Source organism: Homo sapiens, chromosome 3, assembly GCF_000001405.40.
Source record: "Homo sapiens chromosome 3, GRCh38.p14 Primary Assembly".
In the NCBI taxonomy this organism is placed as follows: domain Eukaryota; kingdom Metazoa; phylum Chordata; class Mammalia; order Primates; family Hominidae; genus Homo; species Homo sapiens.
Genome location: NC_000003.12, coordinates 119,378,186 through 119,396,244, shown reverse-complemented (window position 1 = coordinate 119,396,244; position 18,059 = coordinate 119,378,186). Strand labels below are relative to the sequence as shown.

The window sequence follows — 18,059 nt, the reverse complement described above, 5'->3', positions numbered from 1 at the left end:
CTGTGGGCGATTCTGAGGTCCAGGTGTGAGAAGCCCTGGCCTGTGAGTTTACCAACATTTGATCCAGTGCCTGGGAATTGTTCTTTTTGAAAACCACATGGGGGTGGAAATCTTCCTAAGATCAAAGCAAACCACTTATTTCCTTTTTGTTGTTTTGTTTTGTTATTTTTTGACTTTTCATTACTGGTGAACCTCTTTCATGGCTGTACCACTGATTCTGCAACTGAAATTCTCTCTTTGACGTGCTTAAGCAAATCTCTTTTCATAGATTAGGAGTTTCTGGTCAGGTACTCTTCTCCCCAGTTTCTCCCTTAAGAATCCTATTTTCTGATTTGCATCTGTCTTGCCATACTTGTGGCAACCTGTCCTCTTCATTCAGGCTATCTTTCCATTTTGTGTAAGCTGAGTTTTGCCATACGATGATTACAGATGCAGACCCAGAATCCATTTCCCTTCTGCCCTTCGCACATAGCTCTTGTACTTCTTGGGTGTAAGTCCCATTCCTCATGCAAGGGGTTGGCTCAGGATCCCAGGCTGAAGCCAATCAGCACAAGGCACACCATTGACAACAGGGACCGAACCATGTGGCTCAGTGAAGGATACCGAGACAAGGGGAATTTTGATGAGGCCTTCTGGAAAAGAAGGGTCCCTGCTCTTAGGAGCAAGCTACCAGAAATGTTCTTTCTCCCTCTGGACCTAGTGGGATAGTCAGAGGGAAAGCCTAGAACTACTACAGCCACTTTGCCACAGCAAAGGAAGCCAGTCTGGGGATGAAGCTGACCCAAAGGGGGACACAGCTGGGACAGCTGGGGAAAACATGGAGAAATCATGACAGAGCCCCTGTATTAAACCCCCTGAAGCCTTCCCTCTATCAGGGTGTTCAACTGCAGAAGCCAGTAAATTCCCTCACTGCATAAGTTGATTGAATTGATTTGCCATTATTTACAGCCTAAATCGTTGTAACTGCTGTACTGTGACACCCCTCCTTACTCTAACAGGCAAACACGAAGGTTTCTAACATCTGGACTTCCTGATCCTTGGCATGTGATTATCACCGGGTTTGAGGAAAGTCGTTAAAAATATTATCTCACATATTTCCTATAGGAATTAATTTTCCCCCAAATCTCTATTAAAAATTTCAAACATTTAGAAACCTACCACCCTTAAACTTACCACCTTAGTTTTGATAATTATTGACATTTTGCCATATATTTGCATTATCTATTTCTATATTGATATTTATCTACCTACCTATAATTTGCTAGTTATTTTAAAGTGTCAATATTTTGCTGCTTCATCCTTGAATACTTTAGTTTTAGTATATGTCTCCTAAGAACCATTAGCATACTATGAAAATTTATAATTCCTTAATATCATTTAATATCTTCTATATCCACATTTTCCCTCTTTGTTCCCCAAATTGTCTTTTGTTGTTTTTTCTTATTTTTGTTTTTTAGAGATGTGGTTTTGCTATGTTCCTCAGGCTGGTCTCGAACTCCTGGGCTCAAGTGATCTGCCCACCTCAGCTTCCCAAAGTGTTGGGATTACAGGCACGAACCACTGTGCTCGGTCAGCTCTTTTTTTTGTTTTTTTGGTTTTTTTTCCAGGATCCAGTCAAAGTTTGCTCACTGCATTTGTACATTTCTCTTTTACACCTTGGTTTCATAACTATTGCCTCCATTTTTATCATACTTTCAATCTATAACACTAAAGATCATTATGAAAAATTTCCTTGGTCTTCTCTTTCCTGACATAATATTCAGCTGCATTGGTTAAATTCCCCACTATATATGGTTCCCTCAGTTCCTTCCTGTATCAATTTCTATGCACTACTCAGAAATAAGTCCCATGGGGTAGCATCCTTCTTTAAAAATCACGACCCTGGGGGAGAAGGGACAGGTCTTTTCAGCAGAATTCCAATTAATAGAAAATCATCATTTAGCAAATGCCATAGGAATAATTGTTACATCCAAGAACCATCAGAGGATCCTAAAATTCATGACAAAGAGCACTTTAACCAAGGGATCACAGTTCTCTTCACACGCAATAAGATATTGACATCATGTACCTCCTAATATAACACACTGAGTCTGGCACAGGATCACTTCTGTAGGATTTCTGCAAAAATTCCTAACCTCAGTTTAACCATGAGAAAACACTGGACAAACTCTCCCTGAGGTATATTCTACTAAACAAATGGCCAGTACTCTTCCAAGTTATCACGGTCAAAAAGATGGAGGAATTGTCCTAGATTGGCAGAGGTTAAGGAAACATGACAACCAAATGTAGCGTGAGATCCTGGATTGGATCCTAGACCAGAAAAAGAACAGTAGTGGGACAGCTGGCCAAATGTGAATAAGATCTGCAAATTCATTAGGAGTATTGTATCAATATTAATTTTTGGCTTTGATAACTTATATAAGATGTTAACATTGGGAGAAGCTGCATGAAGGGTATACAGGTTCTCTGTGTACTATTTTTGCAATTTTTTTGGTAAGTCTAAAATGTTTTGAAAAAAGACTCCTCTTCCCCTAGTTAATTTATAAGTTTCTCTTTCAGAGCTAGTGTGTTTGATATGATCAAACCAAAGACTTAATAAGCAGAGTTAGGAAACAAATATTTGTATCATAAAACAATTGCTGTTGATTCTTACCCGAGAGCCTCTGTCCTCTCACAAATACACTCCCATTTCTACTCAGTTTTGATTTGGAGTCTGATCCAGAACGTCCCAGGTTAAATATTGATTTCCACTTCTTTGATTTACTGGAGAGCTTTCGCCTAAAAGAACCAAGGCATAAGGGGTTAGTTTGTTAACTTGTCATTTCAAGGGGACTTTTAAATTGAGACCAAATATTCCAGTTATGTCCTCAGTTATGAATGGCTCTGATATTTCAAGAAATTCCCCTCTAAAATCCAAGGTAAGCTTGATTCTCACCTTGTCTAGAGATGCCCCAGGTGACCAAGCAAGGCTTTCATGAGTCACAGCAAACTGTATTTCCCAGGGCAAGAGGTAAAGGTGTGCTATTAAAGGCAGAGGTGGGGGCAAACAGATGCAAGAATCGGTAGGAATCTCAGTGGTCACAAGCAAACACACAATTCTGGGAATTCTGATAAGCACTTTTGTTCTGGAATTTCAAAGACACCATTCATTCATTTTATTCATTTATAGAGATGGGGGTCTCACTATCTTGCCCAGGCTGGCCTTGAACACTTGGACTCAAACCATCCTCTCGCTTCAGCCTCCCAAGTGCTGGGATGACAGTACTGGGCCACCCACCACACATGGCCAGTTTTTATACAGGAGTAAACACTAAAGACCATATGCACCTAGGTCCTGTTGGGCTCCTGCACTACAGCCACACTGCTGGGACATCCACAGGCAAAGAGAGGGCTGGTGAAGACTTTCACGGACTGAAAAGGGTTGGATGAGAAATCCGACCTGGAAAAGAGTCTGGCCTGGTGAGGCTGAGGAGAGTAGCAGCCTGCAGTGTGTGGTCAATGATCACTGCAGAGAAACGCAGAGGGTAGTCAGTGTGTCTCTGGCTTAGCCTCACACCAGGCTGCTTTGGTGAGATGGGGAAAGAGGAGCACTAGGCTGCGTCGAGACAGCCTGGCACCCCAGGGGTCACCATGGAGGCCTTGCCCTGCTGTGGCTCTGCCCAGCCATTGGAATGTATGAAGTTTCAGGATGAAAACCTGCAATCTGTGGGTCCCACAAAGGACCTATTCTCCGCAGGGCTCTCGTGGAACATCCAGATCTCAAGCCCACCATGTTTGTTGTTGTTGTTGTTGTTGTTGAGACAGGGTCTCGCTCTGTTACCCAGGCTGGAGTTCAGTGGTGCAAACAAGGCTTACTGCAGTCTTGACCTCTTGGGCTCAAGCAATCCTCCTGCCTCGGCCTCCCGAGTAGCTGGGACTACAGGCACATGCCACCACACCCGGCTGATATTTTTATATTTTGTAAAGACTGGGTTTCACCATGTTGCCCAGGCTGGTCTCAAACTCCTGGGCTCAAACGATCCTCCCACCTTAGCCTCCCAAAGTGCTGGGATTACAGGTGTGAGTCATCATACCTGGACCCAGGATGTTTTTATGATCCATCTGAGATAGCTTTGCAGTGCTTGGTGGTTTCCTCTGGACTTGGCCCACATTTTGTCAAGCTTTTATCCTTGGGTAATATTTTATAGGGTAGCGTACCTTTGGGTATGGTGCACCCGAGATGTGGTTGAAAGCACAGAGAAAATGCATTTGGTAGTCTTTCCAAGGTATTCTTCCTGATCTCTGGAGGATCAGGGAGAAATGAGACTTATTCTCCAGGGACTTAGGGAAAGGAGCAGTGGGGCTGAGTCTCAAGAAAACACGATCCATATATTTTCCAGCACACAGATGGGTTTCTCACCAGGTGAGTTCCAGATATGCCATTCCTATAGCATGCAGCATGACTGGCATCTCCTAGTTGTGCAAGGTGGCAGCCTGTGCAAGAGGTGCCTGTTTTCATACCTGTTTTCACTGACCAAAGAGTGGGAATGACACCTTCAATGGAAAGGTTGCCTTTCAGCCCCTCCACCTACAATCTGCTTAGAATTTAGGACTCCTGTTCAATCCCCGCTTCTTTCTACTATGGGATATGAGTGACGGCGGGGGGGAGGGGGGGGTAGAGACCCAGGTGGCAACAGAAGAAGTGACAGGGAGAAATGAGGAAAGAAAATATTCTACCAATGAAAACAATGCTTGATTTATTTTGGAGATGAGGGAAGGCTCTGACAGACTCTGACAAGGATGCCAGGTTTGCATGTCCCCAACTGCTGCTCACCCAGAGCTATCAGCCTAGTGACACCATTTGTCAACCCTATGCTTTTTGTATCGTCACGTGGGGATGGAGGGTCGGGGAGGGGGTCGAAGTTTTGTTTTTAGTAAACTTCCTTTTGTAAACACCAAGCCTGATTTGTCTACACTAAAAAGACAGGAATTTCAGTCATGACTTGTGATGTGACCCCTATAATACTCTCCCAAAATGGTGCTTGATCAATGGGAGATCAGGGGTCTTGTTAACTTTGGGGCAGTGCATGCATAAAGGCATCAACTGCTGGTGAGAGAGTTGTAGAGACAGCTCCCTTCTCTTCTGGAATGTTTCCTTAAACCCCAACCCAGACGGTACCTCCAACCCACACTGCCATCTTGGTCCTGAGACTGTATACCTCTCCTCCTCTTTCCTCTTCAACCACACATCTCCTAGAATTTTTTAAAAGAGTGCCACTTACTTGTTGTCTGGTAACTCAAGGACAGTGTGGAAGAGGGTGCCCATGGGAGGGACAATCTCAGGCAGGCTGTTCTCCCTCCTTTCCTTGCGAGCAGGATGGTTAGTGGCCAGGCTGCGGGCTTGAGCTTCCTCAAGGCTCACCAGCTTCATGGGCAGGGAGAGGGCTGGCAAGGTCAGGCTCTTCATGATGGGCCGGTTTTCTGTAAAGGCAATGGAAGAGCTCAGTGTTGGAGGAGGCCTGCCCATCACATCCATCCAGATTCCCCATCCACAGTCCCTCCATTCTTGATCCTATGATGGGGGCTGAGTGCCACCCTGGCTTCTCTTGGGCATGGTGGGGCCTGGGGCTGAGGCTGCACACCGGAAACTGATGACTGTCCTGGCCAGACCTGCCAGAGGACAAACAGGGGCTTCAGGAGGTAGCTGCACCTTCCATACTTTTCAGAGAGGGACCACTCACTCATCCATTCATTCATTCCTATAACAAACATTTATTGAACACTCACTGTGAGCCAGAGTGACAACAATGAGTCTTTACTCCTGAAAACTCTGCCCAGTGCTTCGGCCAGATGGGAATATGTCTGTCCAGCCACAGAGATAGCCTAACTGCCAGAGTAGGGCAGGAGGCTGCCTCTCCTCCCCACAGCTGGACAGCACATGCTCCAAGGCCATTTCAAGTTAGAACCTCTACTTTTCAGATCATCTAGGCTTATATCCCTGCCACAGGAAGATATTTTACAGCCTATACTATTTCCTGTGGTTTTTTTACTCACTACCCAGTTGTCTCCTAGTGTATGTAGCTGATCCTTTCCTATTCTATGGCATTTTTTTTTTTAAAGAATGGAAGTGATGATGACAATCGCTGATGCACAGGATTATCTCTTTTCTCCAAGTCAGTGGTTCTCACCTTGAGGTGATTTTGTGTACCACTCCCCTCCACACCCAGGGACATCTGGCAATGTCTGGAGATATTTTTGATGGTCATCAATGTGTGTGGCAGTGCTACTGGTGTCTAGTAGGCAAAGGCCAGGGATGCTGTTAAGCGTCCTGCAATGCACAGAGCAGTGCCTCACAATAAGAATCATCCAGCACTCAATATCAATAGTGCTGAGGTTGTGAAGCTGATCTAAGTTAAAAAATAGTCTAAGTTTGCTTCTATTTAGTTTTTGGTGACCTTGCCAGTTTTCTATGACTTCTGAAATAGTAAAAAGACTCAAGGATAATTTAGACCAATTGAAATTACTTTTGGTGGAGGACTCACTGTATTTTCAGAAAGCAGATTGATGGCACTATTTCTCTTTGCAGAGCATGACCCTCTGTGGGTGGGAAGAAGTAAAACCATTGAAAAAGGGCCTCACAGAAAATGAAGACAACTGTTATGTGACAATGGGGTGTTTCTGGGGAGGACTAGCATGGATGGCACTAATTCAGTAGGACTACTGTTAAATATAGCCTGGGATCCTGAAAACTTTTCAGTAAACTTTCTGACTTTAACACAGTCTTTTGACCCGATCCAAAGAGGGTTAAAAATATTTAAATTTAATCTACTTTGAATATTTGTTCAAAGACTCTCACATATTCTAGATTATTTGTGATTATGTATTTGCTTAAAAATACATAAAAATAAATACATACATTAACTCACTCTGGGAGCAACTGCAACAATGGGAAGAACATAAACTGCAGGGTCAGAAGACCAAGTTTAGTGCCCACCTCTCCTGTCAGCTCCAGGCTCCTAGGACTAAGGCCCGCTTAGTGTCTCTGATTAGATGGTTTTTTTTGTTTGTTTGTTAGTTGGTTAAGTTTTTGTTTTTTTGTTTTTTTTAAACGGAGTCTCGCTCTGTCGCCCAGGCTGGACTGCAGTGGTGCAATCTCGGCTCACTGCAACCTCCGACTCCTGGGTTCAAGTGATTCTCCTGCCTCAGCCTCCTGAGTAGCTGGGACTACAGGCACCCACCGCCATGCCAAGCTAATTTTTTGTATTTTCTAAAATAGTAATGGGGTTTCTCCATGTTGGCCAGACTGGTCTCGAACTCCTGACCTCAAGTGGTTTGCCCGCCTCAGCCTCCCAAAATGCTGGGATTGCAGGTGTGAGCCACCGCGCCTGGCCCCTGCTTAGGCATCTCTAACTTTACATTTTGTAACAGAGCTTGCGATCTGTGCTCCTCTGCTCTACTGTGGTACCTCCTCTCATCTTCTTTGTGTCAGTAGGTGGCACCACGGACCACCCAGTGCCCAAGCTAAAGCCTGGGGTTGTTATTTCTTATTTATTCTTTTCCTTAATGCATCTCTCCTTCCATAGACAGCCTATAAGCAAGGCTCGTAACTCTACCTCCAAAATACATCCGGAACCCAGCCACTTTCCTCCTTCCCACTGCTAAGATGCTGGTAGAGGCTGCCATGATTTCCCATCTGCTTTTGCCATAGCTTCTTAACTGGTCTCCCCGCTTCCAGCCTCTCAGCCTCTCCTCCACACAGGAGCTGGAAGGCTTAGATCCTGCACTGGCCTGCTCAAAACCCTCCAATGCTTTCCCAAGGCACTGAGAACAAACCCGTCTCTTCGCATGACCTAAAAGGATATTTCATCTGCTTCCCCTTTCCTGTTTGCCCACTGGCCCAGTAGTCTACAAAAATATAGCAAACATTTTAAAATGTGTACATATATATATATATATAAAAATTATACATATACATATTATATGTATACATATATGCCACTGTGTGTCATGCGTAATAGCAAATATATAAAAAAAATAGAAATTACACAGTATAAGACAAAAATAAATGGAAAACAGAAATTTGAACAGTTTCTCCCAACACCCATAACTCATTACTTTGGTCTTTGGTACCCACCAGAGTGGGGCACCCCACTTTGAAGGCCACATTGGTTCCAGCCACATTGGCCAATGTTCTGCAACACTTCAAGCTTTCTGCCTCAGAGCTTTTACAACCTCTGTTCTCTGTCTTTGGAACATTTGCTCATAGATCCTCACATGCCTGGTTCCCCATGTCATTCAGGTCTCACTTCAAAGATCACTTCTCTAGAAACCTTGACCACTCTGTCCCAAAATTATACCCCCAAGTCACTGACTATTGCCTTACTCTGCTATGTTTTCTTCTTGGTATTTATTGTCTTTGAAGTGATAATATATTTATTTGTAAACTTATATATCCTTGTCTTCCCAACCAGACCATAGTTCTATGCCACGGAGTTTCTGTCATTTTGGGCACTGATGTGTCTCCAGTGTCTAGAACAGCACCTAGTTCATAGGAGATATTCAATACACATTTATTTTTTAGTGAATATTAGAGATATCACAATCTCTTTGGCCTCAGTGTTCTCATCTATCAAATAAAAGTATTGGATTCAATGCCTTCTGCTATGCTGTGAATGTTTCTGTCCCCTCAAAATTCATATGTTAAAATAGAATCCTCAAAGCTGTGGGCGGCAAGCCACCCAGGCACCGAGGCAAGAGACAGAGGACACGAGCTGTTCCAGTATAATAAAATATAAAACAAGAATAGTTATACCAGATATAGATCTTAGATATGATTATATATGAATATCATTAATCATTAGTTTGTAGCAATTACTTTTTATTCCAATATTATAATAATCCTCGCTCTATAATCATAGCCTAGGAAAAACCAGGCCATATAGAGATAGGAGCTGAGGGGACATAGTGAGGTGTGACCAGAAGACAAGAGTGCGAGCCTTCTGTTATGCCCGGACAGGGCCAGCAGAAGGGCTCCTTGGTCTAGCGGTGAAGCCAGCGTCTGGGAAGACGCCCGTTACCAGGCGGACTGTGGTCCAGCGGTAGCAAAAGGTGTCAAGGAACAACACCCACTACTTAGCAGACCGGGAAAGGGGGGTCTCCCTTTCCCCGGGGGAGTTTAGAGAAGACCCTGCTCCTCCACCTCCTGTGGAGGGCCTGACATCAGTCAGGCTCGCCCGCAGTTATCTGGAGGCCTAACCATCTCCCTGTGATGCTGTGCTTCAGTGGTCACACTCCTAGTCTGCCTTCATGTTCCATCCTGTACACCTGGCTCTGCCTTCTAGATAGCAGTAGTAAATTAGTGAAAATACTAATAGTCCCTGATATGCAGAAATAATGGCATAAGCTGTCTCTCTGTCTCCTCTCCTTCTCTGTCTCAGCTGCCAGGCAGGGAAGGGCCCCCTGTCCAGTGGACACGTGACCCACGTGACCTTACCTATCGTTGGAGGTGACTCACATTCTTTACCCTGCTCCTTCTGCCTTGTATCCAATAAATAACAGCGCAGCCCGACATTTGGGGCCACTACTGGTCTCCGCACATTGGTGGTAGTGGTCCCCCGGGCCCAACTGTCTTTTCTCTTATCCCTTTGTCTTGTGTCTTTATTTCTACACTCTCTCGTCGCCGCACACAGGGAGAGACCCACTGACCCTGTAGGGCTGGTCCCTACAAAAGCAATAGAATTAAGAGGTGAGGTCTTTAGGAGGTGATTAGGTCATGAGGGTGGAGCCCTAATGAATGGGATTAGTAATCTTATAAAAGAGGCCCAAGGGAGCTTGTTTCACCTTTCCCCATGTGAGAACACAGTGAGAAGGTGCTGACTGTGGTGTATGGGCCCTCACCAGACACTGAATCTACCGGCCCTTGGATCTTGAAATTCCCAGCCTCCAGAAGTGAGAGAAATAGGTTTATTGCTTATAAGCTAACCAGTTCATGGTATTTTTTTTATAGCAGCCCAAATGGACTAAGAAAACTTCTAAAATCTTTTCAGTTTGAAGCAGAACTCTGTCCAAATCTAAAATTCCAGAGAATAGGGCTTATTCCATTTTGTGTAAATATTAAGTATGGCAATTTATTGAAGTCAGTAAGAATTTATAATAAGAACCTTTAAATGAAATGTATGTGAATAATAAGCACTGGAGGCAATGAAGAGTTAAAGGCTAAAGAGTAAACTGGATTTTAATATGCAGGACAAAAAGATGGTTAAGGCAATAGCCATAAAGAGAAAAGGCATTTTCAGGTTGGAATTAGGAACAGCCTTAACATTAACAGTCATGGATGGGATTTGCTGTCCAGAAGAACATTTCCCAAAAACCCTAGTTCTCCACAATGATTTAGTTATCTATTTTCATATTCTTTTCCTCACAGAGGCAGAATAGAGTTAAGGAAAGAGCATGGGCTAAAAGATTTGGGTTCAGTAGTCCACACGCAGCGAATTACTTACTAGGTGGCTTTGGGAAGTTACTAAGCTATTCTGGTTCTCTGGTTCTTCATGTATAAAATAAGGTTGATAACAACTTTATCATGTTTGCTGTAATAAATCAATGAAATGCTGCATGTGGAATACCTACAACAGTTCCTGCTGTAGAGTAAATCCCCAATAAATTTTTTGTGGGCTCAAAAGGGTGAATGAATAAATGTATGCATATTACTTCTCTTTTACTTTCAAAAAGGTTTTTATATAGTTTAAAAGAAAAAAATCTATAACTGGAGAGTTGAAATAAAAAAGAAAGGCCAGCCACTCCTACATATATAATAAAGAGAATTGAAAACGTATATTCAAACAAAAACGTGTATGTGAATGTTCACAGCAGCATTATACATAATCACAAAAAGCAGAAACAACCCAAACTAAGGAATGGATAAAAATGTGGTATATCTATACAACTGAATCTTATTCAGCCATAAGAAGGAATGAAGTACTGATATATACAACAAGATTGGTAAACCTTGAAAACATATGCTAAGAAAAAAAAAACAGTCAGCTAGGCACAGTGGTTCACACCTGTAATCCTAGCACTTTGGGAAGCCAAGGCAGGCAGATCACTTGAGGTCAGGAGTTTGAGACCAGCCTGGACAACATGGTGAAATCCCTTCTCTACTACAAATACAAAAAAAATTAGCCAGGTGTGGTGTTGGGCACCTGTAATCCCAGCTACTCAGGAGGTTGAGGCAGGAGAATGGCTTGAATCTGGGAGGCAGAGGTTGCAGTGAGCCAAGATCACGCCACTGCACTCCAGCCTGGGCAACAGAGTGAGACTCCATCCAAAAAAAAAAAAAAAGTCACCAAAGACCATATATGGCATGATTCCATTTATATGAAATGTCCAGAAAAGGCAAATCCATACAACTAGAAAGTAGATTAGTGGTTGCCAGGGCCTGTGGGGGAGGAAAATGTGGAGTGATTGCTTAATGAGCATGGGGTTTGTTATGGTTTGAATGTGTCCCCCAAAGTTCATGTGTTGGGAACTTGATCCCCAATGCAACACTGTTGTGAGGTGCGACCTTTATGAGGTGATCAGGTCATGAGGGATCTGCCCTTCTAAGTGGATTCATGTCATTATTGCAGGAGTGAGTTCATTATTGTAGGAGTGGGTTTGTTATAAAACCAAGTTCAGCCCTCATTCTCACACTCTCTTGACTTTCCATCTCTCACCATAGGAGGACGCAGAAAGAAGGTAAGGCCCTCACCAGGTGCTAGCCCCTTGATTCTGGACTTCCCAGCCTCTGGAACCATGAGAAATAAATTCCCTTTCATTGCAAATTACCCAGTCTACGGTATTCTGTTATAGCAGAACAAAACGGACTAAGACAGGTTTCTTTTTGGACTGATGAAAATAGTATGGCATTAGACAGCGGTAATGGTTGTACAATTCTGTGAATACATTAAGAACCATTTTACACATTAACATGGTTAAAATGATGAATTGTACGTTATGTAGATAAAATAATTTTTTAAATGGTCATAAACTACATAGAGGACAGGGTAGAGATGGGAACAGTTATACCAGGAATCAAAATTTGATACTAATTGCAACTGATTATTCTGATATCTGTTTTTTCCAAAATATTGGATGAACTGGAAAGGAGTTCTTTGATCAGCTAAAAAATATATTGCAGATATGGTTTTTTATGCACCAGTGATTCTCCAAGTGTGGACCTGAACAGCAGCATCAGCATCACCTGAAAACTTGTTAGAAATGCAAATTATCAGCCACACTCCAAACATATTAAAGCAGAAACTCTGGGGATGATGTCCAGTAACCTTGGTTTAACAAACTCCTCAGGTAATTTCGATTTACACTAATGTTGGAAAACCACTCTCATGCACCAAGCTTCTTGGTCAGCTGGATTTCTGGTCTTTACCAACTGGGTTCAAGGGAGTTTAATTCACTCCTAGGGCTCATTATATTCATTACAAGATGCCCACAAACACAATCATTTTTGTATGCCTACTGCCTGGCATAGCGCAGAACAAAGCACTCAAGAAATTCTTGAGAAGAGAATGCATTCTGAATATATGTGTGAGTATGAACATGCTGCCTCTTAACTTGTTCCTCTAAGACTTCAAAGTGAAGGCATAAGGGTCTTCTGAAATACAGTGAAAGTAAAGATGAAGTCTAACAGTCAATGAGAAGAATGCTGGCAGTACCTCTTTTGGAAAATAACCTGGAGTTTAAGAACTCACTATAACTAGTAGAACATTATTCTACTTCTATTTCACCATACCACATTCACAGGATAGGCCATGTATGTAACTGATTAGAAACATGCTAAAGCCACATGCAAACACACCATAGCTTCACTCCACATTTACAGATGTATATATGCACGATCCTCAGACACTGACACACAGTAGTCAGCATACACACAGCCAACACTCAGAGCTAGAACTAAGCCCACCCTCACTTTCTGTTGAGTCCCACCACTAGTTGCAAGAAAGAAGGATAAGCTGGTGGAGTGTATGCTAGGAGGAGTCCTTACCATCATTCTCCAGAGACCCAGGTGCACCGTTGTTAAAGATTTGATCTACATGATTCAATATGAACTCAATCACCACCTGCTGGACCCGGACTGCAAGGAAGGCTGCATCTCCATTGCAACCAGTGGCTTCAATTTCTTTAGACCTACCGTGTGGAAGAAACATATTCAGTTAGTGAGTTTGCCTTACAACCTGAAGCAGCAAGAGGAGCCAGTGGGCCTTTTGCACAAGGCTCATCTCCTAAATTGATACAGTTCATAGAATATTTTAATTATTTAGGGCCAATTAAAGGAACTCTCCAAAGGCTGTGAAGCCCAATAAACTGAACAAATTTGAAACAGTTACCAGGTACTCTACATTGCAATACTATAAACACTATCCTGTAAACATACAGAAATTGACTTTTGTTTCCTTTATAGTATGCCTTTCCACTCCCACCTAACTGTTCTATGGAGCAGGTCATTATTTATGAAATCATATGGAGCAGCTGATTCTGGTTGTAGCCAGCTGTGACTCCACCAAAACAAGGCAGTGAGCCCCCAAAACAATAAAGGCCTTTTCAAGAAATTTTAACATACAGACCCATAAGTTCAGCCATATTGTAGCTGTAGCCAAAAATGTCTTCAGAACTCAGAGTTTCCAAGTTAGCAGGCAGAGAGCTTAGGCTATTATCACCTAAATCACCTTTAATTCATATGTGCTATAAATGACCACTTAAGCCACAGATTTGTTTTAAAGGGGCTTCAATTTGAAGAATCCAATCTTCATTTCAATCGGGGGCTGCTCTGAGCCCCCTGGGCTGGTGACAAGGGGAGGGTAGAGTGGTTACCTGAGGAGGTTTGGCGCCCACACCAGGGCCAGGTTCCGGGCGTGCATGTTGGTCTTGCTGCTGAAGGAGGCGATATGGGCCAGGTGTCGAATCAGGTATTCCAAGGTCCTAGAATGGTTTGTTTTTTGACAAAGTAAGAAACTTCAGTGCCCGTGTGAAGCCTGACATATGGAGATAATTTCTAAGTTTGGATTTAAGAGACTCTAAATATTTCTATTTTAATGAATTGACATTGGAAAGATGTCAAGATTGACAGAAGTAATTTTCTTGGCCCTAGGCACATTGACTCAGGGTGGGGAAGGGGGTCCATTTTGTCAGATGTAAGCAGAGGACCCTGGAGCACCAGTCAGAGACAGAACTAGAGAATCACAGCACCTCAGAGCCTGAAGGCTTTTTTTTTTTTTTTTTTTTTTTGAGACGGAGTCTCGCTCTGTCGCCCAGGCTGGAGTGCAGTGGCGCGATCTCAGCTCACTGCAAGCTCCGCCTCCCGGGTTCACGCCATTCTCTGGCCTCATCCTCCCCACTAGCTGGAACTAAAGGCGCCCGCCACCACGCCCGGCTAATTTTTTGTATTTTTGGTAGAGACGGGGTTTCACCGTGTTAGCCATGATGGTCTCGATCTCCTGACCTCGTGCTCGCCCGCCTGGGCCTCCCAAAGTGCTGGGATTACAGGCATGAGCCACCACACAGGCCGCCTGGAGGCTCTTAGTGGCCATTTGTTCGTCCTTTCAACCAGGGCAGGATGGCCTCCAAGCAGTTTTGAAATAGGCTCTCATCTAGGCTCGTTTTAATAAAAATTCTCCCAGCTACAGGGATCTTGGTACTTGTTAGGGAGCTAATTTCATGGATAAACAACATTTATTATTGCTAGGAAGTTCCTTCTTATACCACATCAAAATCTGCCCCCTTGTAAAAGATGGGCAGGCATAGGGAACACTGGGAAAGGTGGCAACATTAGGGGCTAAACTGTGAGAATGAAATGAAAGGGTGGGGGATGATGGTAGGGATGGTACTAATGAGCAAATAGAACAATCAGCCAATGCTCAAGAGCCCACAGTCAACCCCTGTTGAAAAGCTATCTTGGTTGCCATAGATTTGGTTATGCTACAAATCTGGGTATGAACCAAGAATGCCACCAAGAGGCTAGTATGCATCACTGGAATGACTTCCTGAGAGATTCTGAGGGGTGTTCTGCAGGTGATTTGGAGACTGGCTTCTCCTTGCTGCCAATGTCCCTGGTCAGACACCAACTCACTTTGATAATAGTGACCTGTTCACCAACTTCAAAATGCCCTTGGGAAAGCCTAAACTTGCTACTGTCCACACATTGTTTCCTTTCCATGATGCCAGCCTGTCTCTTTGGTATTACACTGCATTGAGAGGCCACACGTTTCTTTTCCCAACCATTCTTACCTATAGTGGGATGGAGGAAGCTCCTGGATAACATTTTGGATTCGGGCCAGTTGGCCTTCTTCAGGGCAATGCGACACTGCCTCCTGTGGAGAAGAACACAAGGCAGCCTGGTGAGTGCTTGAGAGCAGGGACAGCCATCTGCATGTGCTGGGATCACTCAAGCCCTCATACTCCAGCCTCACAACCATGCCTAGAGATCATCCTTCCAAGAGGCATGCTTTACTATGAAAACAACTATCCCACTACAGTTTCTGTTGGTTCTGGATGTGTGTGCAGGGTCTCACCATGTGTGCACAGCAGGCGGTGGGCTGCCTGGGACTCTGGGCATCCTGAGATGGTTGCTAGGCGTCTGGTAAGAATGTGTAGAATCTCGGGTGTGTCTCGGGGGTAGAGAGATACAGAGACTCACACACAGAGAGGTAAAGAGATAGAGATAGGCCCAGCATGGTGGCGCATGCCTGTTATCCCAGCTACTCAGGAGGCTGAGGTGGGAGGATTGCTTGAGCACAAGAGTTTGGATCTAGTCTAGCGACATAGTGCAACCTGTCTCTAAAACATGAATGAATGAATGAATGAATGAATACATAAATAAATAACAAGCAAGTAAATAAATAAATGAGACAGATACAGAATGAGATGGAGATGACAGGGCATTACCAAGTCCACTCAGCCAGCTGTCTTTCTGGGTGCAAACAGCTACTGCCTACCTAGCCCGTGACTACCCCATGACCTCAAGGACTCAGCTGCTGCCTGTCCTAGAAGCCAGGAAGCAGGGAAGATGTGCTTTCCTTGGCAGGGATAAGAGCGTTGTCCCTGAAACCTGGTGGCCTTGCCCAGACTTGCTCTCCAGTTATTTGCTGTATGGGTATTTTGTTCCCCCATCAGCCCAAGTGCCTTCAAGGAGAGGCAGGAATAGCAATAAAGGCAGTGTGATTACAGGCTGGTCCACGTCCATCTCTCGAATGCTGGGGGTTGCTGCATGATGCAGGCATCCCTGGGCAGATTCCCCTGGTCCCAGACCTGCACCCATGTTCTGAGAATCTGTCCTGCTGTGCTCACGGCCCCTCCCACTGCAGTGTGAGTGCTCATGAACTGCCAGCATCTGAGCAGTGCCTGAACCTGAGGTCCATGGTAACCACAGCTATCTTTCCTTTTTCACTGAGATATAATTTACATATATTAAAAATGTGCAGATCTTAAGCTATAGCTCCATGAGTTTTTTTCATATGTATACACCTAGGTAACCCACCTAGATCAATACATACTTTAAAAAGGGCTCTAAGATCATGAATTCACAGGCACACATCACTTAGTCTTGTATTTCCTACCAGTGCTGGAAACTTGCTTTAGATTGATACATAATGAAAGGTACAATTATGGAATATCTTAATTAATTTGATAAATATTGCCCTTTGCCATACAACCCAAAATGAGATCCTAACCGTGGTGATGGTTTTCTTACGTTGCTCACCTCTGTTCAACCTTTAGCTGCCGTGTGCATGTTGCATGTAAATACTGAATTTCACACTGTCAGTAATGAGAATTTTTAGGCACAGAAAAGTGGAAGGGAATTAACTTTACCAGCATCTTCAGTTCCTAGGACACACTAGTTGAGTGTGATCTGTTTTAACCTAGAGGAGACCACTGAGGTCCTGCTCCAGCCTGGGCCTCCCAATCCCTCCCACTTTTTCCCCACAGGACTCACTGCCATTACACTACAAGAATGCACTTATTTATTGGAGTTATTGCTTATTGTCTGTCTCCCTTGCTAGAACATAAGCTCTGTGAGTGCTGGGACGTGATGAATCCCTGTGTCCAGAACAGTGCCTGGCACACAGTAGGTGTGAGACAGCAGGCCAGGGCTTTGCCCACTAAGTTTTTTCTTTTTCACCTTTTTTATTTAATTGAAGTAAAACAAATATATAGAAGACCACCATTTTTTAAGGCAATCCAACTTCTCTATGTGGGAATCTTGAGGTCTCGCATTTGAAGCAGAAGTGGGGAGAAACGTGGGACTGGGAGGATTATAGTCATAGGTGTCCCAGTCTTCTGGTGGGTTTGCCAGCCTGAGAACAGGCCAGCCTAAGCAAGATCACTGCTGCAATCCTCACTTTATGAGATATGCAGGGTGAAGGGTAGGGGCAAGAATGGGGCTTCCAGTAAGCCCCCTGACACCTCCCTTTTCTTCCCTGGGGTTGTCATTTGGAAAACATGATTGTGGAGAGGACCCTGGCTCTGCAAGGCGGTGAGAACCTCACAATGGGGAGCTGGGGAGCCGGGGAGCCAAGGGAGAGAAGCCCCGGGGGAGGGAAGGGCTGAGGGAATGCTCTGTGGACTCTCCCACATTCTGCTGTGCACACAGGGAGGGGTGGGGAGCTTCTCTTCATCTCTCTGCAAAGCCGGAATCATGCTTCACAAACGTTGTACCACTAACCCCACCCTCCTTTAAAAAATGTGTCTGGGGAATAAAGGTGTAGGTCAATTTAACAACCCTCATGGAAAGTTCCTTAATATTTTAGGAAGCTGTTAGTCATCTTTGTTCTCCAAGAGGCGGGGCAGGCTCATCCCTGGAGGCCTGCAGGTCCCATTTGGGACTGGTGTTTATTTCATTATTTGCAACCTCTCCCCATCCTACCCCAACCCTCTCCAGAAGCTTTCTAAATTCATGTTTTCCTTCTGGAGGGGCCCGGCCACTGCAAACTTATTTCGAGCTTCTCTATGTTGTCCCATTAGGACCACAGAACCCACAGCTGGGGCAACTGGGGGATGGGAGTGGAAATTTTACCTACCCCAGTTTTTTG

The 18,059-nt window shown here is 44.1% G+C and overlaps 1 protein-coding gene across 2 annotated transcripts in view; it reads right to left on the bottom strand.

The window, feature by feature from the left end:
- The window catches only part of ARHGAP31 (Rho GTPase activating protein 31), a 126,332-nt gene that overhangs the window by 24,470 nt on the left and 83,803 nt on the right, over positions 1-18,059 (bottom strand). For both annotated transcript variants that reach the window (NM_020754.4, XM_006713714.4), the window contains exons 4-8: positions 15,259-15,341; positions 13,846-13,953; positions 13,019-13,161; positions 5,262-5,460; positions 2,654-2,778 (exon numbers count right to left, since the gene is read on the bottom strand). In NM_020754.4, the coding sequence (NP_065805.2) occupies positions 2,654-2,778; positions 5,262-5,460; positions 13,019-13,161; positions 13,846-13,953; positions 15,259-15,341 (658 nt within the window). The remainder of the gene's footprint in view (positions 1-2,653; positions 2,779-5,261; positions 5,461-13,018; positions 13,162-13,845; positions 13,954-15,258; positions 15,342-18,059) is intronic.